This window comes from Homo sapiens, chromosome 3, assembly GCF_000001405.40.
Source record: "Homo sapiens chromosome 3, GRCh38.p14 Primary Assembly".
Classification (NCBI taxonomy): Eukaryota; Metazoa; Chordata; class Mammalia; order Primates; family Hominidae; genus Homo; species Homo sapiens.
Window position 1 is genome coordinate 184,355,135 of NC_000003.12, and position 24,668 is coordinate 184,379,802.

Sequence of the window (24,668 nt, forward strand, 5' to 3'; positions counted from 1 at the left end):
GATGGCAAGGGGAAGGACTCTGGAAGCAGATGGCTTGGGTTCAGATCATCGCTCTGCCCTCTAGCTGTGTGACTTTGGGCCAGCTACTTGTGTTTCGACTCCCCCATCTTTCAAACGGGGGTGATAATAGTGCCTTTCCCATGGCACTGTGGAGAGGCTTCGAGGAGTGAGCACTGCGTGGCAGGTGCTTAGAAGGGCAAGCTATGTAAAGGTTAGCAGTGTACACGTGAGGAGCCCACCTTCATGAGAATGAAGATGACCAGGGTGAGGAAGACGTTGGCACGTGGTGGGTTCCAGGCCTGTGAGGTGCTGGGTGGTTCTAGCTCCTCCACCAGGCCCTGGCGGACCCACGTCCGATTGTCAAACAGGGTGACCAGCGTCTCTTTCTGTGAGAGCTAGAGTGAACAGGGTGCCTCAGGCTGGGAAACCGACAGGATGAAGGGAAGAGGCCATGGGATCCCACGGGGAACAAGGGGTCCCACAGTCACACTGGGGCTGTTGGCTTTGGAGGAATGCCTTCCAAGGGAAAGCACAAAACTCCTGTTCTGCCTGTGGTTACCTGTCCAGCCATGAACTGTCCAAAGCCAGGGGGGAAGGTCAGCGTGGAGATGAGCAGGGTCACCAGAGCCGGGAAGAGCAGGCGTCTAGAGTCGTAGGTTTCACATCAGTCGTGGGTGGCCAAGGGCTGGGTGGCCTCGCATATCTCAGGGCTGAGGTCAGAGCAGAGCCTTGGCTCTTTCATGAAAACACTCAGTCCTGACAGAAGGTCTCCTTTGCTGTTTATGATACGATAGCCCCAAGGCTGATGGTGGACTGGGGTTATTCTAAGAGCAGGGGTCTGACCCAAAGACCTTTCTGTCAGCCCCTGACTCTGTAGGTGGGTAGCAGCAGCAGAAAGTCCATCCTCCAAGCCCTCCCTTGGGGCCCTCCGAGTTGTTATTCCACCCTCCACCCTCAGAAGCCCATCAGGGCATATTGTGTGATGGGGTGGAGAAGTTTCTGCCTCTCTTTGTCTCTCTGCAGTGACTTAGAGTGAAGGTCAATGTTGGGGGAAGCTGGGGTCACTTGTAAAGTTGACCAGAGGTGCGTAGGGAGCAGGTTCAGCTGGCTGCCCTCTCTCTGAAGGATGTCAGTCCCAAGGGAAGTCATGTCTCGCCCTCCCCACTCCCAATCCTCAGGGTCACACTGAGAGAGCTGTGTTCTGGAGATTAAAAAAAAAAAAATCTCGGCCGGGCACAGTGGCTCACGCCTGTAATCCCAGCACTTTGGGAGGCCAAGGTGGGCAGACCTGAGGTCGGGAGTTCGAGACCAGCCTGACCAACGTGGCGAAACTGTCTCTACTAAAAAATACAAAATTAGCCGGGCGTGGTGGTGCATGCCTGTAATCCCAGCTACTTGGGAGGCTGAGGCAGGAGAATCGCTTGAACCCAGGAGGCGGAGGTTGCGGTGAGCCGAGATCGCACCATTGCACTCCAGCCTGGACAACAAGAGTGAAACTCCGTCTCAAAAAAAAAAAAAAAAAAGAGATCTCATCTATCCCCATGGGTCATGGGGGGAACCTGAGGCTCAAACACTCTCCAGGGAGCATTCCTATATGGGCCAGCCCAGAGGACCTGAGGAGGCCTTAGTCTTTGATTCCCAAATGTCCTCTACCGCTGACTATAAACTTAAAAATGCCAATTTTCAGGTAATTCATATGAATATAAAAATGCTCAGTCAGCCTGGAAAACACTGCTGGCTGATTTCTCAGTGAAGTGCCTGTTTTGACTGGGCCATTCTCTCCCCATCACTGTCCCCTGACCTACTGTGGCCCTTATACAACTCAAAGCAGCCTGGAGAGGAGCCGAGAGCCACTCACTTCCTCATGAGGAAGCGATTGATGGTTTTCTGCTTCCGCATCACCTGGACAATCTTCCGGTTCAGGTAGACAAAGAGGGCTCCACCGAAGCCACTAGCAATACTGGAAAGGGAAGAGGCACCTGAGTGAAAAGGAGCCTTCTAGAAACCCCCCTCCTCTCTGATACCCCCAGCCCCCTCAGCTCCTCACCCAATGACAGCAAAGGCTGGCAGCTCCTGCAGGTCAAAGGGGAAGTCGAGCCGGAATCGGGTTTTGAAGAGGGCTGTAATAGTCTCTAAAGGGAAGAACAGCAGAGGGAGGCAGGCCTAGCCTCGTGGGCCCCCTACCTGGCACCATCTCGGGCTGCCCTCATCCCCTGGGTGCCCCCACCTTCATCCCGGTTCCAGACTGCCAAGACCCGGAAGATGAAGGCACTGAAGGTGGCAGCGAAGAAGCCCCGCCAGTAGTTCCGCACTGCAAAGAAGGTGGAGGTGACCTCGATGCTGAAGAGGACGCCTGTGAGGGGGAGGGAGACCAGCACTTGAGGCCTGGGCCTGGCCTAAGGCCTCAGACCCAGATAAGAGGGGCCAAGGAGGAGAGGCCAAGGGCAGGGTTGTGGGGCTGGACTGACCTAGGAGCCCTGCCTACCTCCAATAGGTGCCGCGAAGCAGCAGCCCACCCCCACGGCACAGGCGGCAGCCAGCATCTCTGTGTTCCGGGATTCATTCTGGCGAGAGTGGTGGCAAGAGGGGGTCAGCTGTGGGCTCAGCAGCCTCTGCCCCCTACTTGCCCCAGGGTTCCCCTTACCTCATAGATACCCCCAAAGAGGGAGAGGAACTTGCTGAGAAGGGCAGCACACATGCTTGCGATATGCACAAAAGGGCCCTGCGGGGTGGGGCAGGCGGTGAGTCGGGAGGGGGCCCGCCCTGACCTTGGCCTGGCCTCCTCTTCCACCAGGAGGGACTCCTTCATTCCCCAGCCTGCAGTTACCTCTTTGCCAAGCGGCATCCCGCTGCCTAGGGCGCAGGTCAGCCCAATGACCTTAGCTATAAAGGTCTTGAGTGTGAGGTATTCTTTCAGCACCACTCCCCGCAAGATGGTCTTCATCTCAGGGATGCCAGAGCCTGGAGAGGGAACAGTCTCAGGAGAGGCATTCGATGCACCCATTTCAGGGGTCCCGCCTCTGCCCTCCCCTTCTCTTCTAACATACCGACAGCCTGAGGGGCCAGGATCTGTGTGAATCCGGCTGAGAAAGTGATGAGGACAACAGGGTAGGTGACCCAGGCCAGGTACTGGAGCAAGATGCTGGTGTTCAAGCCCCGGGACATCCACTGCTGGGCTGTGGGAAGAGGACCTGCTGGACCCCCAGTGCACACACCCACTGCCTGCCTGGCCAGTGGACCACGCTGATACGACAGGCTGTCCCAGGGAGTACCACACAGAGTCAGGGCATGGGTGAAGGAAAGGGTCCCTGAGGGTATTCACTGGGACAAAGCGCAATCTAGGCAAGAGGATCACTTGGAGAGGGGATGCAAGAAGCTGTGCCCTGTGGGAGTGGCCGAGATGATGCCTGAATCTGGGCAGTCAGACTGGCTGGGGAAAGTGGTCAGTGGCCAAGAAGCCAAGACGCCTTCCTCCATGTCTAGACGAGTGTGGCATGGACGCAGGAGGTTTATTCCCAGTCCTCCCCCTGCCAGCTGTCACCCTCACCTTGCAGACAGGCAGCAATGGCATAGTCCATGACCCAGCTGACCAATGCCATGAGAAGCCCCAGCAGGACCAGGAAGATCCAATCTTCACCAACCCTGGATACTAGGAACTTGTGGCAGCGGACAGAACAGACTGGGTGCAGGGAAGGGAAGAAGGGGGAGGATGGCACCAAAGTGCTCCTACCCCTTTTACTGCCCCCTCAACTGTCCCCTCTCCCCCATCAGCAGCTCTAATGGCCTCTGCTTCCCTCAGCACAGCACAGCCAGGTCCCCTGCCCCCACCCCAGTTCTCACCGCGGCATCGGGCGCAACGGCTCCGTCCATATTCCAAGAGCTCTGGGGCAGCCCGAGAGGAAGGGGGACCTTTCCAGGGTTCAGGCCCTCCCAGGCGAATCCGAGCAGCTTCCTCTTTGGCAAAGGCCCCAAGGTCCTGAGTGTACCGGCCATACATCTGGAGCAACAGAGGGGATGGGGGCATTCGAGGTCATGGGCTGAGTGGGAACGCAGGGAGAGTTCTTAGAGCCTCCACTCCTCTTCTCCCAGCCCCCACACTGGATATCCCTCTTGAACGCACAGTTCCCACTCTGGCCCGAGGTGTGGGAACAATGCACATTGCAGACTGTGGAGGCTGTCCTGGCCAGAGTGATGGGGACAGCCAAGGTACAGGGACACAGCTCTGGGGGTGGCAGAATAATCGGTCCTCTTCTCACAGGCCTGGGGCTGGGGCACTGAAGAGGAGTGAGAGGGAAGCCCCAGAAGAGGAAAAGGTGGAAAAACCTGTGGCACAGTCTAAAAGTGGGAGGCGGGAAGGCCAGGGAGTAAGGGATGATCAGGGGCACATGGGCAACAATAAGAGCCTCGTGGAGCTCGGGGCAGCTGAGTTGGGCCCAGGAGCAGGCGCAGCCCCAATCCTTATCACGTTCCTGCTGGGCCTCCGGCCTGTGACCAACTCAGCTGCACCTCTCCCACCCACCCTAATCCCCTTGTCCCCATTCTCCACTGCCACCCCCACCAGCCTGCCAGCCCAGCTGGGAGTGGAAAGCCTCTCACTTAGGGTGGGTGGAGAGGGCTTGGTGGCCTCAGCCCCATTCTGGAGCTGCACTGAGCCCAGCGGTGGGTTGGGGGACAGCGGAGGCTGAGGATGGCTGGGCTGTGACTGTGGATGCTGGGGTGATGGGACGGGAGAGTCGCCTGAACCATGGCTAGACCTGCCAAGCTGGGCGTGTGTTGGGGGGCGGGGAGGAGTAGATTCTGGCTGCCACCCGCAGAGCTTCGGGACACAAAGGGCTCCTGTTGGGGCTGGGATGGGGGGGAGGGAGGGAGGGAAAGATAGAGACAGAGAGAGGGTGAGAGATAGGAAAGGGAAAGCAAAGAGAAGAGAGGGAACTAGAGAGGAGAAAGTAGAAGAGAAAAGAGAGGGAAGGCGAAGGGATGGAGAAGAGAAAGAAGGGGATGAGAGAGGAAGAAGTACGGAGGAGGAAGAGAATGGAGAGTATTAAGAGGCAAGCACGGTGTAGGAGGAGGGAGGTGAGAGTGGGAGAGAAAGACAAAGGGATAGGATGGTGAAGGGGGGCGGGAGCAGGCTGGAGCACAGAGTGCCCGGGACAGAGCTCGACCCTGAGAGCTCATTCCAGAGACAGCTGGAAGGGACGGAGATGGAGAGGTGGCTGGTGTTAAGAGGCACCATTTCAGAGGCCAGGTGCCTGGCTTCCTTGACCATGCTCCTATCCTGGTCTGGGCAGATTGGCAAGTGTCTCCTACCCCATCCCAAGGGTTGGCCCCTCTACCCTTGCTCTACTCCCACCTCTCCCTGACATCCTGATTCATCCAGCTACTTTCTCCTAACTGGGCACCTCCCAGACTTATAGCCTCTCCTCTCCAAGACGTTCCCTCCCTGCCACCTTCCTGGGCAAATTCCAGCCCAAGCTGGTAAAAAGGAACCACGGGCCCCTTCCTTTCCCTAGGGCTTGGGTCTTCCACCCCAGTGACATGAGGAGGGTCACGTGGCTTCTCAAACACCAAGTAACAATGGGGGCGATAAGTCAGCTCAGAGCCCAGGACCCCTGCTTCTAATGAGGTCAGGGGACACACCCTGGGGTGGGTGGGGGCTGGATACCCCGCATCAGCATAGACAAAGGTCCCAATTCCCACACCCATTCCTGCTTCACCCACCCTCCCTAAAGCTCCTGTCCCCCAGAGTGGCAAGCCACCTTTTTCCAGAGTCAACTGAGGGGCTCCTGGAGCCAACGCTGGGTGTGGAGCCTCCAGAGGTAGGGTCTGGGGCTGACCATCTTTCTACACACTCGATTCTATGCTTAGCATGGTGCCATGCACATGGCAGGGACACAGAGAATGTCTTGGGTGGTGGAGATAGTGGCGTAGAGAAAGTTCAATGGTGTGAATGGTGCCGCGGAAGGGGCAGTGGGGTGCTGAGACTTGGGCCCAGGTGGTGAAGGGGAGGTGCAAAGAAAACGTGCATGTTGTGGGGTGAGGGGAAGGACACCTGAGACAAGTACCTGGTGTCCTTGTCCTCTGCAGGCCCTCAGCCTCAGCCAGAAACCAGCATGCAGTTTTCCATCCCTTCGGCCCTGCAGCCTCAGACTTCCAAGCCTCAGTTTCCCCAGCTCAAAATGCTAGGACAGGATTAGGGTAGGCCCCTGGTCCTCGCGCTTCCCAGGGTAACCTGGAGCAGGGGTCCCGGAGCGCACTCCTGGGGCTCAGCTCAGCTTCACTTACCAGGGTCTGCTCGTACTGCAGCGCCCGTGGCTCCATCCCTTCCTCCGCCGCCGCGGCCGCCATCTCCGCGCACTGCCCTCTCGCCTCCCTCGGCGGTTCCGGCTCTGTCCTGGACTCGGCTCCCGGCCCGCAAAGTCCGCGCCGGCAGCCGTCCCGTCCCCGCAGCCCGGGAGGCCGAGAGCAGAGTGCGGCGGGCCCCCGGCGGGCGCCGCTGGCGCAGCCTCCCGCTCGCGTCCCCTCCCCGGCGGGCGGGCCGAGGGCGGTGCCCTCTGCGCTGCTCCGCCCGCCGGCCCATCCGGAGGGGACGGCCCAGCCAGGCTGGGGTCCGCGCGGGGCCTCCCGAGAGGCGGCAAGGGGCGCTGGGAAGGCGCAAGCCCGCGCCGGCTCCCTGCGGATGCCCGGGTCGGAGAGGGGCGCCCGGGAGGGGCGGGTCTACTGGCACGTGGAGGGGCCGGCCCGGGTTCGCGGTTCCCCGTGCCCAGGCAGGAGGGGCTGCAGACGCCTGAGCTCCGTAGGGGTTGGGGCTGGGGGCTGCGGAGCTGTCTACATCGGACTCCTCCGGGTCAGCCCGTTAGGAGCCGCCTCCCCTCTGCCCCTCCGAAGAGACGAGCGGCCCAGACAGGCCTGGGAAGGCCCCTCTGCCCCGTCAGGGGTGAAAAGCAAAGCTGGAAGGATTCGGAGAGGGTTGGGGCCGTCTTCCTCATCCTTCCTTTTCTCGGGGCTCCCGTGGGTAGGTGCACTTGGAGCAACCGGGCCTGCGGGGTGTGCGGGGGTGGAGGTTGGGGAGGGCACCGGAAGGGGTAGGCCGGAGGGAAGGGAGCTCCAGGTGCCGGGAAGTCTACTCCTGGGACGCGGGCGTGGGTCGCTTCTCCCTGGCTGGGCCCAAGGAGGAACCCAAGTCGCTGCTTCCATCCCTCCGCTTTGGGGGAACTGCCTGCTGGTGTTCTGGGTTCTCTATCAGGGGCTGGGGAAGGATAGAACAGAGGGCGGAGCGCGCGCAGGGTGGATGGGCAGCGTAGAGATAGTGTGAGAGGAGCGAGGGCAGCGCCCAGGAAACGCACAAGTGTGCGGGAGAGCCAGCACCAGGAGTAAGGGGCATTTGGGAGGCAGAGGCGGGGCTCAGGGGGCGGGAGCAGTGCCCGGGAAGGGGGGGCCTTGTGATAGAAGCCAGCACTCAGGAGGAAGGGCCAGTGTGAGGGAAGAGCTGGTATCCAAGGGACAGGGCAGTGCCAGGCTGAAGGGGCACGGAGGGGATCCGTGTCCAGGAGAAGGCAGTGGAGGGGGAACGCGCAGCACTAAGCTGGAGGGGTAATGCCCGGGGGAGGGGGGTGGCGGGAGCCCGGCTGAAGGGGCGGTGTAGGGGAAGAGAGCAGGGCCTGGGGGGAAGAGGGAGGGCAGTGGTGGGAGGGTGCAGTACGAGAGGAGGGGACAATGCAGGCTTTCCTCTTCTCCATAGCGACGTCATGGCAAATTCCCAAACTGGACGGATCCGGCTCGGGTTACGTCCAGCAGGGCCGAGCCGGCCCAGGCCGGCCCCGGGGTCCTCGGTGCCGGCTGGAGGGGCTGGGCACCTCTGGGGCGGGGTTCTGCTCCACCTGCCCTCGGCGCGGACTGTGCCCTCGGCGGGCACGCGGACCGGCGGGGTAGGGCTAGGGCCCGGCTTCTCTGGGCCAAGGATCAAGGTCCCTGCCTGGGTTAGGCCCCCACGCATTCCAGTCTTCGGAACCCGGCCTCTGAAGAGGGCGCAGTAGGGCCCCAGCGGAGCGCGAGAACCCGCTCTACAGCCTATTGCTTCCCCGCCCTGGGCAGAGCCACCTGGACATGAGACCCGCCCTCAATGCCGAAGCCTCTCGGAAGCAATCTTTCGGGACGGAAGTTAAGTAGCCCCGAGCGGGAGGCTGTGGCGGAAGTGGTCGCGTTACCGCTTGTTTGTGCGCATGCGCCACTCTCGTCTGGCCGCCGCGCTTTCAGGAGGTGCTTTTGGTTCTCTCCGGTCTTGTCCACGCTAGGGGGTGCACGTACTCCCAACTGTGGTCGCGCTCTCACCCCTTCTGCTGCTCTCGTGGCCCCCTCGCGATGGCGGGCATCCTGTTTGAGGATATTTTCGATGTGAAGGATATTGACCCGGAGGGCAAGAAGTTTGACCGAGGTAAGTAAGGTATGTAGGGGCGGTTTGGAGGAAGAGGCTAACCTCGCGGACATGCCCCTGGGCCCCGTGTCCACCCAGCTCTTGTGGCCTGCCCCTACCAGCAGGTCCTGGTGTAGGGACCTCCCTCAGTAAACATTTTATGGATGAGAAAACGGAGACTCCCGAGCTCTCTCTGGCTTCACGCATGCCGTGCCCGGTGCCTGGGTGGCCTTTTGTCATGGTGCTGGCAAACTCCTAGGCATATTTATAATCGCTACCTGCTCTGTGCTAGACACTGTCTTGTGAGACCAGCCTGGCCAACATGGTGAAACCCCGTCTCTACCAAAAATACAAAAATTAGCCTGGCGTGGTGGCGGGCGCCTGTAATCCCAGCTACTTGGGAGGCTAAGGCAGGAGAATTGCCTGAACCTGGGAGGCGGAGGTTGCAGTGAGCCAAGATCGCGCCACTGCACGCCAGCCTGGGCGGCAGAGCGAGACTCCGTCTCAAAAAAATGACAGTCCTCATGAGGTGGGTGGTGCCTTTCCCATTTTTCTCTGAGAGGTTGAGTAAACCACCCAAGGCTTCACAGCGAGTAATCTGACTTCAGAGCCTATATTCTTGTATTGCCCTCAGAATCTTTAGCGCTTTGTGAAGTCTTCTTTGAGTTAGAGTTAGCTGCTTGGTATATACCTTTTTTTTTTTGAGACGCAGCCTTTCTCTGTTGCCCAGGCTGGAGTGTAGTGGCACGATTTTAGCTCACCACAACCTCCGTCTCCCGGGTTCAAGCGATTCTCTGCCTCAACCTCCCAAGTAGCTGGGATTACAGGCATGCGCCACCACGCCTGGCTAATTTTGTATTTTTAGTAGAGACAGGGTTTCACCGTGTTGGCCAGGCTGGTCTCAAACTCCTGATCTCAAATGATCCACCTGCCTCGGCCTCCCAAAATGTCGGGATTACAGGCATGAGCCACTGCACCGGCCTACACCTCTTTATTTTGTCATCTATCAATAATTTTCTCTTTGATGTCTCTTTCTTTGCCTGGAGACTAAGATGTTTTTCAAGACGGATACCAGTTCTTATACATCTTGGTCACTCCCCTCAGCACAGTGCCTAGCATAGAAAGAGAAAACCTTTGGATGATTGAATAACTTGCCCAGAGTCAGGTTCTCAGTCATCCAGGCAGGCTTTGCTGCTGGAGTATCTTTGGTTGTTTTCTGGGGATTACGTTCGCTTGCCACAGTTTTTCTCCCCTTTTCCTTCTTGCATATCTGGTTCTGATTGAGCCTGAATTTCTATGAGAGCAGATGAGAGACCACTGGATGTAGACTGGGTTAGATTGAGTATCCTGTTGCATACAATCCCACACTGTAGGATCTGCCTTGGCAATACCTCTGTCACTCTTTTCCTGCTTCTCCCCAGTGTCTCGACTGCATTGTGAGAGTGAATCTTTCAAGATGGATCTAATCTTAGATGTAAACATTCAAATTTACCCTGTAGACTTGGGTAAGTATTGAATACAGACAATAATAAGAGACTTTTTGCTGCTTCTGCTATTCTTTACTCTCTGATATTGCTGTTATTTTCAGGTGACAAGTTTCGGTTGGTCATAGCTAGTACCTTGTATGAAGATGGTACCCTGGATGATGGTGAATACAACCCCACTGATGATAGGCCTTCCAGGTGAGGGAGTGGAGAAGGTAATACTTGAAATATGCCTTGAGGACTAAGTAGATAAGTGATATAGAAAGACTCTTCTAAAATTCCTGGAATAAATGATGATCAGCAGAATCTGAGTAACCTTAAGGAAATTTCTGCACTTAAGAATTCAAACAGGCCAGGCACCGTGGCTCACACCTGTAACCCAAGCACTTTGGGAGGCCGAGGCAGGAGGATTGCTTGAGTCCAGGAGTTCAAGACCAGCCTGAGCAACATAGCGAAACCTCACTGCTACAAAAAAGAAGAGAGAAAAAAAAAAAAGGCTGGGCATGGTGTCATGTGCCTGTAGTCCCAGCTGCCTGGGAGGCTGAGGTGGGAGGATTGCCTGAGCCAGGGAGGTTGAGGCTGCAGTGAGCCATGATTGCACCACTGCACTCCAGCCTGGGTGACAGAGCAAGACCGTGTCTCAAAAAAAAAGAAAAAAATTCGGGCCGGGCGCGGTGGCTCACGCCTGTAATCCCAGCACTTTGGGAGGCCGAGGCGGGCGGATCACGAGGTCAGGAGATCGAGACCATCCTGGCTAAAACGGTGAAACCCCGTCTCTACTAAAAATACAAAAAAAAATTAGCCGGGCGTAGTGGCGGGCGCCTGTAGTCCCAGCTACTTGGGAGGCTGAGGCAGGAGAATGGCGTGAACCCGGGAGGCGGAGCTTGCAGTGAGCCGAGATCCCGCCACTGCACTCCAGCCTGGGCGACAGAGCGAGACTCCGTCTCAAAAAAAAAAAAAAAAAGAAAAAAATTCAAACAACCAGGTATTTATCTATAACAGTGATTACATGCTTGTGAGTTGCAGCCTTTTGAAGGCTGAGGAGGTAACTGCTGAGTGACCTAGGCCATGTGGGTCTTGTGTCTTGGGAGGGAGCTTGGTGTGATGGAAAGACTTTGGCACCCCACTTGAGTTCATTTCTCAGCTCTACCACTTATTTGTTGAGTAACCTTAATCTCCTTCAGCCTGTTTCCTCATCAATAAAATAGAGATGGTCATGCCTAGCTCATGGGGTTGCCATGAGGACTAAATGACATCATGTTTGTAATGTGCCTGTTGTTATAATGCTGGCATTTAGTTACCAGTAACCATTTTTTTTTTTTTTTTTGAGACGGAGTCTTGCTCTGTGGCCCAGGCTGGAGTGCAGTGGCGCGATCTCAGTTCACTGCAAGCTCCGCCTCCCGGGTTCACGCCATTCTCCTACCTCAGCCTCCTGAGTAGCTGGGACTACAGGAGCCCACTACCACGCCCGGCTAATTTTTTTGTATTTTTAGTAGAGATGGGGTTTCACTGTGTTAGCCAGGATGGTCTCGATCTCCTGACCTCGTGATCTGCCCGCCTTGGCCTCCCAAAGTGCTGGGGTTACAGGCTTGAGCCACCACGCCCGGCTGACCAGTAACCATTTTTAAATGGGATCTTTTATATTGTTAATTACTGTTAAGAATAACTTTGCTGCTATTGCTCCATAGGGCTGACCAGTTTGAGTATGTAATGTATGGAAAAGTGTACAGGATTGAGGGAGATGAAACTTCTACTGAAGCAGCAACACGCCTGTAAGTTACGTAATCTTGTGAGGATTCTTTTCCTCTTCCATGTTCTGAGACTTTGAGCTATGCTCCTGCTTCCTCTGTTGAGTCCCTCTCCTCAGGCACCTCAGACCGAGGTGGGAACTAGAAAGAAATAGTTCTGGGAGCAGTTTCCAGTCTGAAATGTAGACTGCCCTTTGTCAGGCCCTCCTGGCCCAGTGGTCCACATGAGAAACTGATTATCTCACTGTGTAAAGTGCAAAGGAGACTTGCTTCCCCAGGAATAAATGCAGCATTAAGTGATTAGACTGTTAGGCTTTGTGTGTGTGTGTGTGTGTGTGTGTGTGTGTGTTTTGCTACTCTGTAAAAGGCTGTGTGTGTGTGTGTGTGTGTGTGTGGCTACTCTGTAACCCAATCCCTAGTTCCTTGGTTTTCCTGTCCAGCTATTTTTTCTTTTCTTTAAAGTCTTATTAAAACAATATGTGCTTTTTGTAAGTAATTTGAAATGCAGAAGAGTAATGTGAAGAAGGAAAAAAAAGTCACCTGTAATTCCATATCCAGAGAGAACCTTTTACATAGACTTTTTTGCATATCCTGGTGTTCTGTTTTTTTCTTGGAGACTGTGGTGTTTATTATGTTTTCTTCTGCTCTTTTTGCTTAACATTATGTAAAACATGTTTCCCCATGTTAGTGTAAAGCTTTTCTTTTCTTTTCTTTTCTTTTTTTTTTTTGAGATGGAGTCTTGCTGTGTTGCCCAGCCTGGAGTGCAGTGGCGCGATCTCGGCTCACTGCAAGCTCCGCCTCCCGGGTTCACGCCATTCTCCTGCCTCAGCCTCCTGAGTAGCTGGGACTACAGGCACCCACCACCATGCCTGGCTAATTTTTTTTTTGTATTTTTAGTAGAGACAGGGTTTCACCATGTTAGCCAGGATGGTCTTGATCTCCTGACCTCGTGATCCGCCCGCCTCAGCCTCCCAAAGTGCTGGGATTACAGGTGTGAGCCACCGTGCCCGGCCGGTGTAAAGCTTTTCTTAAACGTTTCAATAGTTGCATAACATTTCAGTAAGTGGATATGTCTTGATTCATTTGAACATTCCCCTGATTTGGGGCATCTAGGTGTTTTCCACCCTCGATAATATAAAGAACAGTGCCTTGCACATATCTGTGCATTGATGTTTGTCAGAATTTTGGTTCCTAGTGACAAAACAGTAGGAAGATGCCTCTTCTGTTTCTTAGGCTGAGATGGAACAGTGCCTTGCACATACCTGTGCATTGATCTTTGTCAGAATTTTGGTTCCTAGTGACACAACAGTAGGAAGATGCCTCTTCTCTTTCTTAGGCTGAGATTGAGAGCTGCTGAGTGGCAGTGCTCCAGAATCACGGGATGGGGCCTTCTGTTTCAGCTCTGCGTACGTGTCCTATGGGGGCCTGCTCATGAGGCTGCAGGGGGATGCCAACAACCTGCATGGATTCGAGGTGGACTCCAGAGTTTATCTCCTGATGAAGAAGCTAGCCTTCTGAACCTCGCCTGAAGCCAGCCTCTCTGCCAAGTCACTCAGGTCATGGGCATTGTTCAAGCCTGAGTGGCAGCCGCTCTTGCTCACCTGTTGAGGAAGGGCTGGCTCACTGTCCACCGTGGCGGCATCTTTAACTGGCCTCCACTCAATGGGAAACTGACTCGCCTGTGAAAGACACAGTGGGAGAGCTGAAAATGAATCAGAAGCTTTATGTATATGATTTTTAAATTAAACTTTACTTTTTCAGACTGCCCCTCCCCTTTTTGTAAAAAGTCCATTTACTGTAAAATCGTTTTTTCCAGTTTGTCTGTGGTGTATTGTTTCTGGCCCACAGCCAGCTGATCACTTGTCAATGTAGGATCTATTCCAGCCTTTTGGTATCTGGGTTCAGGGTTATCTCAGTCTCCTGGCTGACTGTTCTCAACATTTATCCTCCAGTGTGGTTTTCAGTCTGGGAGAGAGTTGTGCTTTTGGCTCCTGAGGGTACCCCAGGCCCAGAAGATACCACCCATTTGGCGCAGAATTTTGAATTGGCAAGGAGCCCTGCTCATGTCCTTCCAACACTTTCAGTCTCTTAGGAAGTCAGTTCATGCTGACTTGAATGAGTCACTTGCATAGTCTAGAAATGTTCATTATTTTTATGGAAGCTTTGGGTAGAGGCTTTTAGCTACAGGCATGGGAGATGACTATGAAGAGAGTAGGACGAGAGGACTTGGTGGTTCTGGAAGCAGCTGGAGGAGCTGGCTCTCTGCTCTACATTCCAGTGGTGACCTGGGAGGGAGGGTAAGTGGAAGTGGACAGGGCAGCAATACCAATGAAGTTGGCAGGCCAGAGCCAGGGCCAGTGCCAGGACCATGTAGCGGCCTGACTACAGTCACTAACTTATGAGTAGGGGAAGAAAAAACATTAAGGAAATGGCTATGATAAGGGCTCCAGCATGTGAGCTGGCTCTTCAGCTTGGCATTAGAGGTCTCTAGGAAAGCATATGGGGTTCTGTTTTCCCCTAGGAAGTTTAGGGTAACAATCCAAAAAGATTCTCTGTGCATTAAACAGTTGTCTGTTTGATCTGGTTTTGCCTGGGAGCTGGTCCCCTGCTGGGATACCTGGGGTATTTCCTTCCCCATCATTTTCGGATCTTCATGTGAGGTGTTAGAAATAGTATTTAGGGAAATGGGTTGAAAATGAATGGCCTCAGCAGGGAGGAGGAAGAGGTGTTTCTTTTACCTTACTATGGGTAGAGTAGGGGGAGGGAGTTGGGATGAATTTTTATGAAATCCTAGAACCTTTCCATGGGGTGGGTTTTTTTGTGGGGTTGGAGAACGACAAATGAGAGTGAGACAAACGAATTACAAGTAATAGTGTGTAGGTTATCATAGACTGTCCTGGCGGTCTTGGGGTAGCAGAAGAAAGAGAACTGGTAGAGCATTGAATAGGGATAGGAGTGTTCTGGTTGTAATTGTTTTTTTGTGTTAGTGGGAAGAAGGGATGGGACCAACCAGACTGATTTGGGAATGGGTTAGATTTGTAATAGGGCAGGTAAGTTCACACTGGAGAAGCCCATGAGTTACTCGCATTTGCCCACAAGTGGAGTAAGTCACATACCAATACCAGATGCCTGGAAGTTTCTGGTGACATTTGCAGTTTTGACATTCTATTTCTTTTTTTCTTTTTTTTGAAATGGAGTTTCGCTCTTGTTGTCCAGGCTGGAGTGCAATGGCGCGATCTCGGCTCACCACAACTTCTGCCTCCCGGGTTCAAGCGATTCTCCTGCCCCAGCCTTCCGAGTAGCTGGGATTACAGGCATGTGCCACCATGCTCAGCTAATTTTGTATTTTTAGTAGAGACGAGGTTTCTCCATGTTGGTCAGGCCAGTCTCAAACTCCCAACCTCAGGTGATGCACCACCATGCCCAGCTAATTTTGTATTTTTTAGTAGAGATGGAGTTTCTCCATGTTGGTCAGGCTGGTCTCGAACTCCCGACCTCAGGTGATCCGCCTGCCTCGGCCTCCCAAAGTGCTGGGTGTGAGCCACCATACCTGGCCCTAAAGTTTTGCCATTCTTGTCTCTCATCTGTCTGTGCTGGGAACCCATCATTCTCTGGTTCTATTGGTGTATCGTGTCCTAGGTGCTGGCACTTTCATGTGCTATAAAGTGTTTCATTTGATTATTAAATTTAACCCAGCTCAATATGTCAGTAAGTTAGTTTCCACTTAACATTCCCTTGACTGCATGCTGGAATTTGTAGTATGAATGAACTACTTCTCTTCCATGCAGAAACTGACAGCATTTGAGATTTGGACAACATTTTTGAGCTTTGTGCATTTGTTGATTCCTTCTCTAGGAAAACTATTCTGTCCGTGAAGGGAGAGAGGGACATGGGAAGATGTCTAAATTGGTCACCTCCACTAAGAACTTTGGTTTTCTACTCAGAACTCTTTTTTTTTTTTGAGATGGAGTCTCACTCTGTTGCCCAGGCTGGAGTGCAGTGGCGCGATCTTGGCTCACTGCAACCTCCATCTCCCGGGTTCAAGACTACAGGCGCTTGCCACCACACTCGGCTAATTTTTCATATTTTTAGTAAAGGCAGGGTTTCACCGTGTTGGCCAGGATGGCCTTGATCTCCTGACCTTGTGATCCGCCTGCCTTGGCCTCCCAAAGTGCTGGGATTACAGGCGTGAGCCACCGCGCCCGGCCTCAAAACTCTAACTGTTACTCCTTAAGGACTTGTATGTCTTTCCCAGTAAACAGAATCATTAAATGACATATAGGACAGTGTACCACACTGGAGAGAGTATGGACCCTAGAGTGAGGTCAGACTAGGGTGTTTCTTCTCCTGCCCACAGGGCGTGTAACCACTGATAACTCACCTGGCTTCTCTGAGCCTCAGTTTCCTCATCTCTAAAACAGAAAAGATAATACCTACCTTACAGAGTTGTGTGAATGTTACAAAAGGTAAAGTACACGAGGTTCCTAGCACATTGCCTTTCATTCTGCTGCTTTGGAATGCCTTTGGTGACCCTGGGGTATTTGTGGCAGTGTTTGGGTTTCTGGGTTCCTGGCTCCTCTACCTCCGTGGTAGCCTTTCCTTCCTCAGGGGTCGGGGAGAGGAAGAAGCTTCCACTAGTTTTCCTACAGGAACCTCTGGAGGTAGCAGGTTGATTTTTGCAGTGGAATTTGTGTTTTTGTGCAACACAAACCTTTTCCTGAGCACCAAGGCAGCACTTATTTGCAAAGCCCCATAAGCCTGACTCCTTTTTAGAGATCCCCTAGCAGAGTTTATGGTGGTCACACAGAGCTGCTTTTTAGATGCATTTGCGGGAACTGGGAAATGAGCCTTCAACTTGTACTTGACTTGTACTTGTTCTCCTGCTGTGTGAGCTCAAGGAGCCTGACTCATGCCACTTCCTGCACTTCCTCCTGACCTCCACAGGAGGGAGGCAGGCGTCCATGCCTGGCAAAGCCTCCTGCTGAGCTGCCAAAGCTCTAGCTGTTTGCTCAGCTGTCACATCCAGGTCCTGTCTTTACTGAACTGTCTACACAGCCTTACCTGGGGTGTGAGGCTCTCCAAGGCTTCCTGTTAGCTTTTTTGTTTGGGGTGGCAGGGTGAGGGGGATCTATTGCCACCCTCGAAGAACATCTTTCCCTTGCTTTTTAGGGAGCTTTTCGGCGCTCCCATTTATTCCTTATACAGGCTCAGTTTTGTCTAGTGTATAGGGACAGCATTTCTGAGAGAAAGCTTATTCATTTCTCAAGAGTAAAGATCTGTTAAGAATATGGGATCAGAGTCCCACTGAGAATGATAGTAAAGGGGATGGGGGCGTTGGAAGGCCTTGAATTTGAAGCAAAGGAAATTACCCTTTCTCTGTTTTCTGACTCAAGGTTAGTCTCTCCCTCTGTTCAACTGCCAGGCCAGCCCAGGCCTTTGCAGAGTTATCACAGAAAAAGAGCATGTAGAGAATCAGTGAGTTGCAAATTTCTGCAGAAAATAGACCAAAGAGCTAGCTGCTCTGATGAGTATTGCTGATAGCTTAAAAAAATAGCTTCTGAAGGTTTATAATGTACAGTGAAAAATGATTCCCTTTTCAGTCCTGTGTATCCCTTTTACCAGGGCTTTGGGTTTCAGGAGAAAGTAGGAAATCTTGTCCAGTTGTCTCCCAGGGGCGCCCTGCAGGGAAGGGAGCTGTACACGAGACAATGCTGATGTCGGCAGTGTCTGAGAACCTTACCCTTCCTGAGACAGATTCTGGGAGTGGGTGTAGGATGTGTTTAGAAGAGGGCTGGTAGGGGTGGGCGTTGGAGCAGAAGGGTCAGGAAGCAGGGGGTGGAGCTGGACCACAGGGGTGGGCAAGGTGGGTGGAAGAGGGAAGAGCGTATACTGTCCAGTAGGAGGATGGGTTGGGGAAGGAGAATATCCAGGCTGGAGGTTGGGTGGCAGGGAGCCTGTGTCTGATGTTCCTGAGGAAATGTCCGGGGCTCCTAGGGTCCTGCGTGAGGGTCCAGGAAAGAGTCCACGAGTTCCATTCAAGAGTTCGTGTATCCTGTTCAGGTATCCGGGGATTTGGTCCAGGGACCTGGAGGTTTGGTTCAGCAGACCAGGAATCTTGGCTCTGAATCCCTGCTGCCACTTCAGAAGCCCAGAGCCAGTAGTTCTGGCTGAGGCAGTGAAGTTTGTCTCCAACAATCCAGAAGTCCTGTTTGGGAGCTCGTTCAGTGTGAGGACTAGAGAGGTTCTGCTGGGGACAGCTGTGGTGGGTGGGGCCCGCCTGACGCAGAGGGTGGACCCTCCTACAAGCATCAGGAAACGCACCTTTCCTCGGAGCAGGTGTTGGAAGCTCAGGAAGATGGCATTGGGATCCTTGTGAGCTGTGGTCCTGCCCTGTGGAGGAAGCTGAGGGCAGAGGATGGTCCTGAGGCCAAACACCAGGGCCAGATCTCAGGCCTCCCTTGTCTAAGTAGGAAAGACAGGATGCCAGTACCCAGGCATTGTGGCTGGCAGGGAGCACTCTTAGTAGATCAGCTCTTCTGCCCTTGAGCTCCCTGGAAGAGCCCTTCTTCCCTCAGGTCTTCTAGGGGGACTGAGTCAGAAAAGAACAGTTTCTACAGATCCCTTGACTGGGGACTTACCTGGGTTCCAAGGAGGCTCTGCAGGGCCCCAAGGAGGAGACGGACCTGTCCAGAAAGCTGCCCCAGGAGGGATGAGAGGCAAGTGGGTCCCAGTTGTCCCCGTGCTGCCATCACTCCCTCCAGCAGAAGGGTCACTGCTCCCAGAATGTCCTGTGCCTTGGTCTCCTCCTGAGAAAGAGATGGAAGAGAGAAGCGCACTGCCTCAAAGGGCACACTAAAAGCGGGTGGGGAGCCTTAGGAGTAGCCAGCAGAGTGAATCATACAGGCTGAGAACTGGACAGGACCAAGGTCCCACCCAGGGCAGGAATTCCTTCACAGTCTCCCGACAGCTGGTCATCAGCCTCTGCTTCAAAAACTCCCGTGTCCTCTAGTCCAGCCTGGTCTTACACTTGGTTTCAGTGAGAAGAGCTCCTTTTTTCTTACGTTGCTGAAATCTGCCCTGTTACAGCTTTTACCTCTTGGTTCTAGTGCTGCAAATTTACTCTTTCTGCTGCAAAACCTTAGGATCATTTGATTTTTAAACTGAATGAAGGCTGGGTGCAGTGGCTCACGCCTGTAATCCCAGCACTTTGGGAGGCTGAGGCAGGTGGATCACCTGAGGTCAGGAGTTCAAGATCAGCCTGGCCAACATGGTGAAACCCCATCTCTACCAAAAATACAAAAATTAGCTGGGCATGGTGGTGGGCACCTGTAATCCCAGCTACTTGGGAGACTGAGGCAGGAGAATCGCTTGAATCCGGGAGGCTGAGGTTGCAGTGAGTTGAGATCATGCCACTGCACTCCAGCCTGGGGGATAGAGTGAGACTCCGTCTCAAATAATAATAATAAATAAACTAAATGTAGGTATGAGACTCTACCATAATGATCATAAGGATGAAAAGAAAGGACTAGAAGGGACCCATAGGAACTGCCCTTCTTCCCTGACTCAGTCCTGAAGGAAGAAGGGACGCTAGGGTTCTTGAGGATAGATTTTAGTTTTTTAAACTATTGCCCATAAAACATGCTTCTAGTCTCTTTCTGTTCAGGCTGCTGCTTTCTAGACACATGTTAGTTTAATATGGTCCCTCTTAATAAATTAGCATATGTCTTCAGGGGGATGTCCGGTGTTCAGGCCAGTATATTTAAGTGTAGTCCACTCGGAATAGAGTTCTGTACGAGCATTTCCACAATGGGGATGCTAAACATCAAACAGACAAGAATTACTAGCTTTAAGAATAGCAGCTTCAGTAATGTTACATGGTAAGTTTGGGGGCAATTTAATTCTCTCAGATCCTTTTCGTAGGAAGTGCTAGGGCCAGAGGCTTAAATGATGGAAGCAGGGCATTGTGGCCTGAAAGCTGGAATAGGACTTTACTCATTAATTTACACATGTAGAATTTTTTTTTCTTTTTGAGACGGAGTTTTGCTCTTGTCACCCAGGCTGGAGTGCATTGGCATGATCTCAGCTCACTACAACCTCCACCTCCTGGGTTCAAGGGATTCTCCTGCTTCAGCCTTCCAAGTAGCTGGGATTACAGGCATGCACTACCATGCCCGGCTAATTCTGTATTCTTAGTAGAGACGGGGTTTCGCCATGTTGGCCAGGCTGCTCTCAAACTCCTGCCCTCAGGTGATCTGCCTGCCTCGGCCTCCCAAAGTGCTGGGATTACAGGCGTGAGCCCCCGGCCCACATGTAGAAGTTTATATCTCTGTTGTTTCACCTTGTTTTTGACCTAGTCTTTCAGTGATTTGAATCTTGATTCAGTCTTTTGTTATTTTAGTGGTACTTCCCAGCTTTGTGTCATCTGTGGATGACATATGAGTCTTGCTTCTTCATGCCAATTTAAGAAGACTGAACGGGAATAGGTCAAAGGCATGGCCATGAGCGATTTCTCTCCAGCTTTTCATGGTGTTCAGCTTCAAATCTATTCACATATTGGACCTGCAAGCCATCATCTTATCCACAGGCTATCATCATAGGTGAATGTAGATTGGGTTAGGGTGGCCAAGCTGAAGGTGAGATATTTTTAAAAAGCTCAAGAATGTTGGAGAATCCATGGGAAGCAGTGGGAAACTGAAGACAGGACTTAGGGAAGCCAAGGTTAGGGATGGCTTTCTTACCATCTGGGTTTTCCATTCTCCCAAGCTAAAGTCCACAGCAGGCAGCAGGACAGGTGTAGGCAAAGGGTGAACCTCTGGGCACTGGCTCTGTTGAAAAAGATTGGTGGGGGGAGAAGGGAGCTGAAATAGAGAGAGCTATGGTAGCCTAATAAGCAGGCTAGTCCTCCATGAGTACTATCTCTAGACGAGAGCTTTTAAATGCGGGCTGTATTGTGAAGAATAATCCTTGTCAGAGAGTGTGATCAGTAGGTGGGGACAATATGGGAAGAATAGTCATTGGGTCAAGGAGTTAGAGGAAGTGATGGTGTCTTCCTGGGAGTATGGGTGTCTTACCAGTTACGCGGATAAAGGGGATAATGTTGGGAGTTCTCACCAGTCTGCTGTGAAGGACATGGGAGTCACGAAGCAGTTTACTGAGGACTCGGAGGTCACAAGCAGGAGGAGCCGGGCTGGACAGCGTTAGCCTTGCAGTTAGGAGAAGCATGACCACGAGGAGCAATTCTTAGATGAGGAGAGGTGAGGTTGAAAGATGAGGAGGAAATCATTGTCAGCTGGTATTCCAGGAATTCCCATTCAGGACCCAGACCTGAAACCCAGGGAATCCACCCCTCAGACCCCTTATTTTTGGGAGAATGGGTTCCCCCAGCTTCCTGCCCCCTGCAGCGTGTCTCCTTTCTCTCTCCCCTTCTGTCATGTTTCCATATGGCCCTAGCCCCTCAGGTGTGTTCTCACCAGTCAGCTCCATTCTGGCCGGGGTGTCTGGCTGGCGTGGCTCCCTGTTTGGGGCCTCTCCCCTGAATCCTTCCTGGGGCCATGGAGGCGGCTTAGGCTCTTGCACTTCTGGGCAGAGTAGGGTGGGGCAAAGGCGGGCCAAGGGTGAAGAATCTATCCTGAAAGTAGCAAGAAGAGTGAACATTTAACCAAGTTTCTAGGAAGAGACTGCCTGGCAGGGTGAACAGATGCTGGGGAGGGCTTGAGATGCTGACCAGCCTGGAACTGCCAAAGCCCTGAATTCTCTCACATTTTCTTGTGATGAAAGCATATGGTGTGCCGGGTGCAGTGGCTCATGCCTGTAATCCCAGCACTTTGGGAGTCCAAGGCGGGTGGATCACCTGAGGTCAGGAGTTCGCCACCAGCCTCACTAACATGGTGAAACCCCGGCTCTACGAAATACAAAAAAACTAGCAGGGTGTGGTGGTTCATGCCTGTAATCCAAGCTACTTGGGAGGCTGAGACAGGAGAATCGCTTGTACCTGGGAGGCGGAGGTTGTGGTGAGCCGAGATCGCACCATTGCACTCCAGCCTGGGCAATAAGAGTGAAACTCCGTCTCAAAAAAAAAAAAGAAAGAAAGAAAGAAAGAAAGAAAGCAAGAAAGCATATGGTGTCTCCTTTTTGTCAGGACTCCTCAGTGAATCGGACATGGATTTGGTGCCACCTACCCCTGCTGAGAGCAGCAGGACATGATATGTATACACACATATCTTAATTAGCCTTAAATTCTGAGCAACCTTGGTTGTTAGGTCAGAGAAAATCTGGGATGGGGATAGAGAAGGAAAGTATTGTGGCTTCAGCCTGGAGAAGAGAGTGGAAAATGGGATGCAGGGCCTGGGTGAGGAACTGGCAAACGGGCGCAATATGTTGAGGGGTAACTTCTGCGGTGGGGAGTGGGGCTGGGGAGGGGAACTGCACAAAGCTGTAACTGGGACCACTAGAGGTCAGGATTAAAAGGCGGTATGGGAGAAATTAACCTCTATTCTTTCCCTATCTACCCCCACACATAAAGCCACTGGAGCTTTTCTCTGGACTCCAAGTCCTGAAATACTCCATTATCTGAGGCCAAGAGATGGGCTAACAGTTCTGGGACTTCCTTCCTGAGACCAGCTGCCCAGGAACGGGCACCTGCTGGGTGATGCCCACCTTAGGGGCTTACCTTGTCTTAGGCGCCCACTAACATATCTGTCTCATAGCTCACACCTGCCTCCCTGCCCCCTTGGCAGAACCCCTTCCGGTTCCTTCACAGGACCCCCCACATGGCTTCCTCCTCCTTTCACAAGTTGTGCAAAGAGGCTTGCACCTGATTCAATATTGGGATTTCCTGTAGGTCTGTCAACATGAGTGGGCCCTCCTCCCATTACCCTCTCCTTGCGCCCTGGCTTGCCTGGCCCAGCTTCCCCAGCACCAGATTCAGAACCTTAAGCTAACGAGGAATGACCAGCTAAGAATGGGGATTGGGGCTGTGTCCATCTTACTACTGTGTTTGCTAAGCCCTAAGTGCAGCTCCCTCTCTTATTTTCTCCCTGGGCTCATGTCCCCTTTCCTTAGGGCCAGCCAGGGCTGTGCTGTATTCCACCAAGTAAGTGATCAGTCCCTCAGAAACCAGCACCCCACCCCCTACCCCTGCTCTGCCCTGCTCCTCCCATTCTGGGAAGGCTACACTCTTCTCGACAAAGGTCAGTGCCTGTAGGTTCCAGTTTGCCTGCCCCTCCCCCAGCTGGGAGCCCATTTCTCTTTGCTGTCCTTTCTACCCTCACATAACCCCACACCCTGCTGGCCACTCACCGGGTGGAGAAGGGCTCCAGGACCCAAGTGCACAGCAGGCAGCCCTCTGGGGAGCAGATGGGTAGGAAGACATGTGGCGGTGGGGCACAGCCCCTCCACAGCAGCAGGTCATACGCCTGCCTGGGCCACTTCTGCCCAATCAGAGAAGGGAGCCACCAGACACTGGTGAAGGCCCCCGGAAGTGACGCCTTCTCTTCCCTGGAGCCCCTGCCTGGACCAGGGTCCACTCCTCCACCCACACACACCACGGAGAAGATTTGGATAGGGGGATCCATCTTTTCCTGGACATGGGCAACCTGGGACCTGGAGGGGGACAGGAGCAGAAGTTTTTTTCCAGGAGGAATCTGGCAGGACATTTGTGTTGCTGGGGAAGAAGCACAGAGGTCTTGTTTAAGATTGGTGGGGTTTTCACTCCCTGGCTATCCAAATTTCTTTTCCCTGGACATCATACCTGCTGCTGAAATCCAACAGGATGCTTGCTTTCCTGCTTTTCTTTCTGTAATCCCCTAGGGAGTCCTATCTTGTCATTCCCCCTTTCGAAGTGGGAACACGGATATTGCCCACATGAGAGAAATCTCCTGTTATGGGTTGGTGTTATGGGGAAAGGGTTTGGACGGGTTGAGTGGACTGTCAGGTGCGGGGCACATGTATGTGCGCACACGTGCACTGGGTTAAGCCTGAGCTTAGGTGCTCGTCTGCTGGGGTCCAGTGGCTTAGATGGCTACACACACAGACCTCTGTGCCCAGGGCCCTCCTTTGCTTGTTCTGTCTCCGTCTTCCATCTCCTACCGTTCCACATGTGACAAGAGGAATAACCAGGCCCATGTGTCCCTGTCTTAGGAAAGACAGCTGCTGGACCTCCCCCGCAAATACCTCCCTGCTGGCCCCCCTTTTCCTTTGGCCCTGGCTCTAGCTCCTTTGCTTTCTTCCCAGTCCCAGTCTCCCCACAGTCTCTGTCCTCAGGGGCTTCCTGGCCTGACCTTGATCCCATCATCCCCCTGTCCCCCAGAACTTCCTCAGGCTCTCTCCTGTTCCTCCTCCCCAAGGATGGGCATGTCTGCTGAGAAGTGTGGCCTAGATCCTGGAATTTTCCCGTCCAGCCAGACGAGATGTCTCCCAAGATTAGGAAGGAGGGTGCTGGGATAGCTGGGAGGATAGTGGGTGTGTGTGGGAGGGAGAGACAGGAGACAGGGAGGCAGGCATGACCAGGGAACCAAGAGAAAGGAGGCTGGGAGTGGGCTGGAGAGGCAGAGGGTCCCTTGGGTGAAGGAAGGGGGTGAGAAAGCAAGAGGGGACTGTCGAATGCGCCTGAGGATAAGTTACAATGAGAGGGAGATACTGTCACTCCACAGAAGGGGGAATGCTGCCGGTTTCTGGCTAGGTCCCTGTCCTGGGTAACACAAGAATGAGGAGCGACCTCAGAGAGAAGGTAGGGAGGCAGGCTAGGCAGTGAGAGAGGGTGGTGAGGGTTTGGGGGGCGCTGTGGGCCCAGGCAGGGGGAGATCGGCTGATGGACCTTTCCTGTACGTTGTCATCTTTAAAGACAAGTCTTCATCCTTCGGGCGGAACCGGGTCCTCGCTCACAGAGCGGTCCAGGCCTCAGGCCTAGCCTCTGCCCCTCCCTAGCCTGAGGCTCCCTTCCTGGGCTGGACACCGACCTCCTGGTCCAGCCGCCCTGTGGCCGCCAGCAGCGGGGGGCTCCGGGCCCGCCTCTCCTCCCCCTCTTCG

At 53.4% G+C, this 24,668-nt stretch overlaps 3 protein-coding genes and 1 long non-coding RNA gene across 43 annotated transcripts in view, besides 8 other annotated features; 2 read left to right on the forward strand and 2 right to left on the reverse strand.

The window, feature by feature from the left end:
• CLCN2 (chloride voltage-gated channel 2) overlaps positions 1-6,471 on the reverse strand; it is a 15,421-nt gene extending 8,950 nt beyond the window's left edge. For 6 of the 7 annotated variants that reach the window (NM_001171087.3, XM_006713489.2, NM_001171089.3 and 3 more), the window contains exons 1-12: positions 6,283-6,471; positions 3,841-3,997; positions 3,548-3,679; positions 3,048-3,176; positions 2,828-2,961; positions 2,645-2,722; positions 2,486-2,564; positions 2,228-2,353; positions 2,048-2,132; positions 1,859-1,960; positions 560-644; positions 240-395 (exon numbers count right to left, since the gene is read on the reverse strand). In NM_001171087.3, the coding sequence (NP_001164558.1) occupies positions 240-395; positions 560-644; positions 1,859-1,960; positions 2,048-2,132; positions 2,228-2,353; positions 2,486-2,564; positions 2,645-2,722; positions 2,828-2,961; positions 3,048-3,176; positions 3,548-3,679; positions 3,841-3,997; positions 6,283-6,345 (1,326 nt within the window). In that variant the 5' untranslated portion in view covers positions 6,346-6,471. The remainder of the gene's footprint in view (positions 1-239; positions 396-559; positions 645-1,858; positions 1,961-2,047; positions 2,133-2,227; positions 2,354-2,485; positions 2,565-2,644; positions 2,723-2,827; positions 2,962-3,047; positions 3,177-3,547; positions 3,680-3,840; positions 3,998-6,282) is intronic. The other variant, NM_001171088.3, reaches the window with a different exon arrangement.
• Positions 4,103-4,616: an enhancer, noted in NCBI's record as "H3K4me1 hESC enhancer chr3:184077025-184077538 (GRCh37/hg19 assembly coordinates)". NCBI's record gives its function as "activates a minimal SCP1, AML or CMV promoter by ChIP-STARR-seq in naive H9 embryonic stem cells {active_cell/tissue: H9 hESC(naive)}" and the evidence as "EXISTENCE:reporter gene assay evidence [ECO:0000049][PMID:30033119]".
• Positions 4,617-5,128: an enhancer, noted in NCBI's record as "H3K4me1 hESC enhancer chr3:184077539-184078050 (GRCh37/hg19 assembly coordinates)". NCBI's record gives its function as "activates a minimal SCP1, AML or CMV promoter by ChIP-STARR-seq in naive H9 embryonic stem cells {active_cell/tissue: H9 hESC(naive)}" and the evidence as "EXISTENCE:reporter gene assay evidence [ECO:0000049][PMID:30033119]".
• LOC124906311 (uncharacterized) lies at positions 5,193-6,177 on the forward strand. The gene is made up of 3 exons (XR_007096193.1): positions 5,193-5,623; positions 5,730-5,816; positions 6,085-6,177. It is a non-coding gene; the product is annotated as an uncharacterized LOC124906311 (long non-coding RNA).
• Positions 6,246-6,835: a silencer, noted in NCBI's record as "silent region_14964". NCBI's record gives its function as "represses an Ori minimal core promoter by ATAC-STARR-seq in GM12878 lymphoblastoid cells {active_cell/tissue: GM12878}" and the evidence as "EXISTENCE:reporter gene assay evidence [ECO:0000049][PMID:35858748]".
• POLR2H (RNA polymerase II, I and III subunit H) lies at positions 6,576-13,457 on the forward strand. 24 transcript variants are annotated; one of them, NM_001278699.3, is made up of 6 exons: positions 6,576-7,012; positions 7,739-8,440; positions 9,832-9,915; positions 9,999-10,092; positions 11,583-11,666; positions 13,043-13,457. In NM_001278699.3, exons 3-6 carry the CDS (start codon positions 9,867-9,869, stop codon positions 13,158-13,160), a joined length of 345 nt encoding a protein of 114 aa, NP_001265628.1. In that variant the 5' UTR covers positions 6,576-7,012; positions 7,739-8,440; positions 9,832-9,866; the 3' UTR covers positions 13,161-13,457. The 24 variants fall into 24 exon arrangements, with proteins under 24 accessions (NP_001265628.1, XP_006713729.1, NP_006223.2 ...); XM_006713666.4 differs by having other exon boundaries at positions 7,739-8,431; positions 12,979-13,457; NM_006232.5 differs by having other exon boundaries at positions 7,739-8,431.
• Positions 7,396-7,665: a silencer, noted in NCBI's record as "silent region_14965". NCBI's record gives its function as "represses an Ori minimal core promoter by ATAC-STARR-seq in GM12878 lymphoblastoid cells {active_cell/tissue: GM12878}" and the evidence as "EXISTENCE:reporter gene assay evidence [ECO:0000049][PMID:35858748]".
• Positions 7,736-8,005: a silencer, noted in NCBI's record as "silent region_14966". NCBI's record gives its function as "represses an Ori minimal core promoter by ATAC-STARR-seq in GM12878 lymphoblastoid cells {active_cell/tissue: GM12878}" and the evidence as "EXISTENCE:reporter gene assay evidence [ECO:0000049][PMID:35858748]".
• Positions 8,066-8,245: a silencer, noted in NCBI's record as "silent region_14967". NCBI's record gives its function as "represses an Ori minimal core promoter by ATAC-STARR-seq in GM12878 lymphoblastoid cells {active_cell/tissue: GM12878}" and the evidence as "EXISTENCE:reporter gene assay evidence [ECO:0000049][PMID:35858748]".
• Positions 8,466-8,585: an enhancer, noted in NCBI's record as "active region_20910". NCBI's record gives its function as "activates an Ori minimal core promoter by ATAC-STARR-seq in GM12878 lymphoblastoid cells {active_cell/tissue: GM12878}" and the evidence as "EXISTENCE:reporter gene assay evidence [ECO:0000049][PMID:35858748]".
• Positions 8,946-9,015: an enhancer, noted in NCBI's record as "active region_20911". NCBI's record gives its function as "activates an Ori minimal core promoter by ATAC-STARR-seq in GM12878 lymphoblastoid cells {active_cell/tissue: GM12878}" and the evidence as "EXISTENCE:reporter gene assay evidence [ECO:0000049][PMID:35858748]".
• THPO (thrombopoietin) lies at positions 16,801-24,554 on the reverse strand. Of its 11 annotated transcripts, NM_001290027.1 has the most exons (8): positions 24,457-24,554; positions 22,941-23,243; positions 21,113-21,270; positions 20,754-20,881; positions 20,381-20,467; positions 18,281-18,448; positions 17,964-18,044; positions 16,801-17,847 (listed from the first exon to the last, which is right to left on the reverse strand). In NM_001290027.1, the coding sequence occupies exons 3-8, from the start codon at positions 21,123-21,125 to the stop codon at positions 17,464-17,466; spliced, it is 861 nt and encodes a 286-aa protein (NP_001276956.1). In that variant the 5' UTR covers positions 21,126-21,270; positions 22,941-23,243; positions 24,457-24,554; the 3' UTR covers positions 16,801-17,463. The 11 variants fall into 10 exon arrangements, with proteins under 11 accessions (NP_001276956.1, NP_001276955.1, NP_001276951.1 ...); NM_001290003.1 differs by having other exon boundaries at positions 16,801-18,044; NM_001290026.1 differs by having other exon boundaries at positions 16,801-18,027.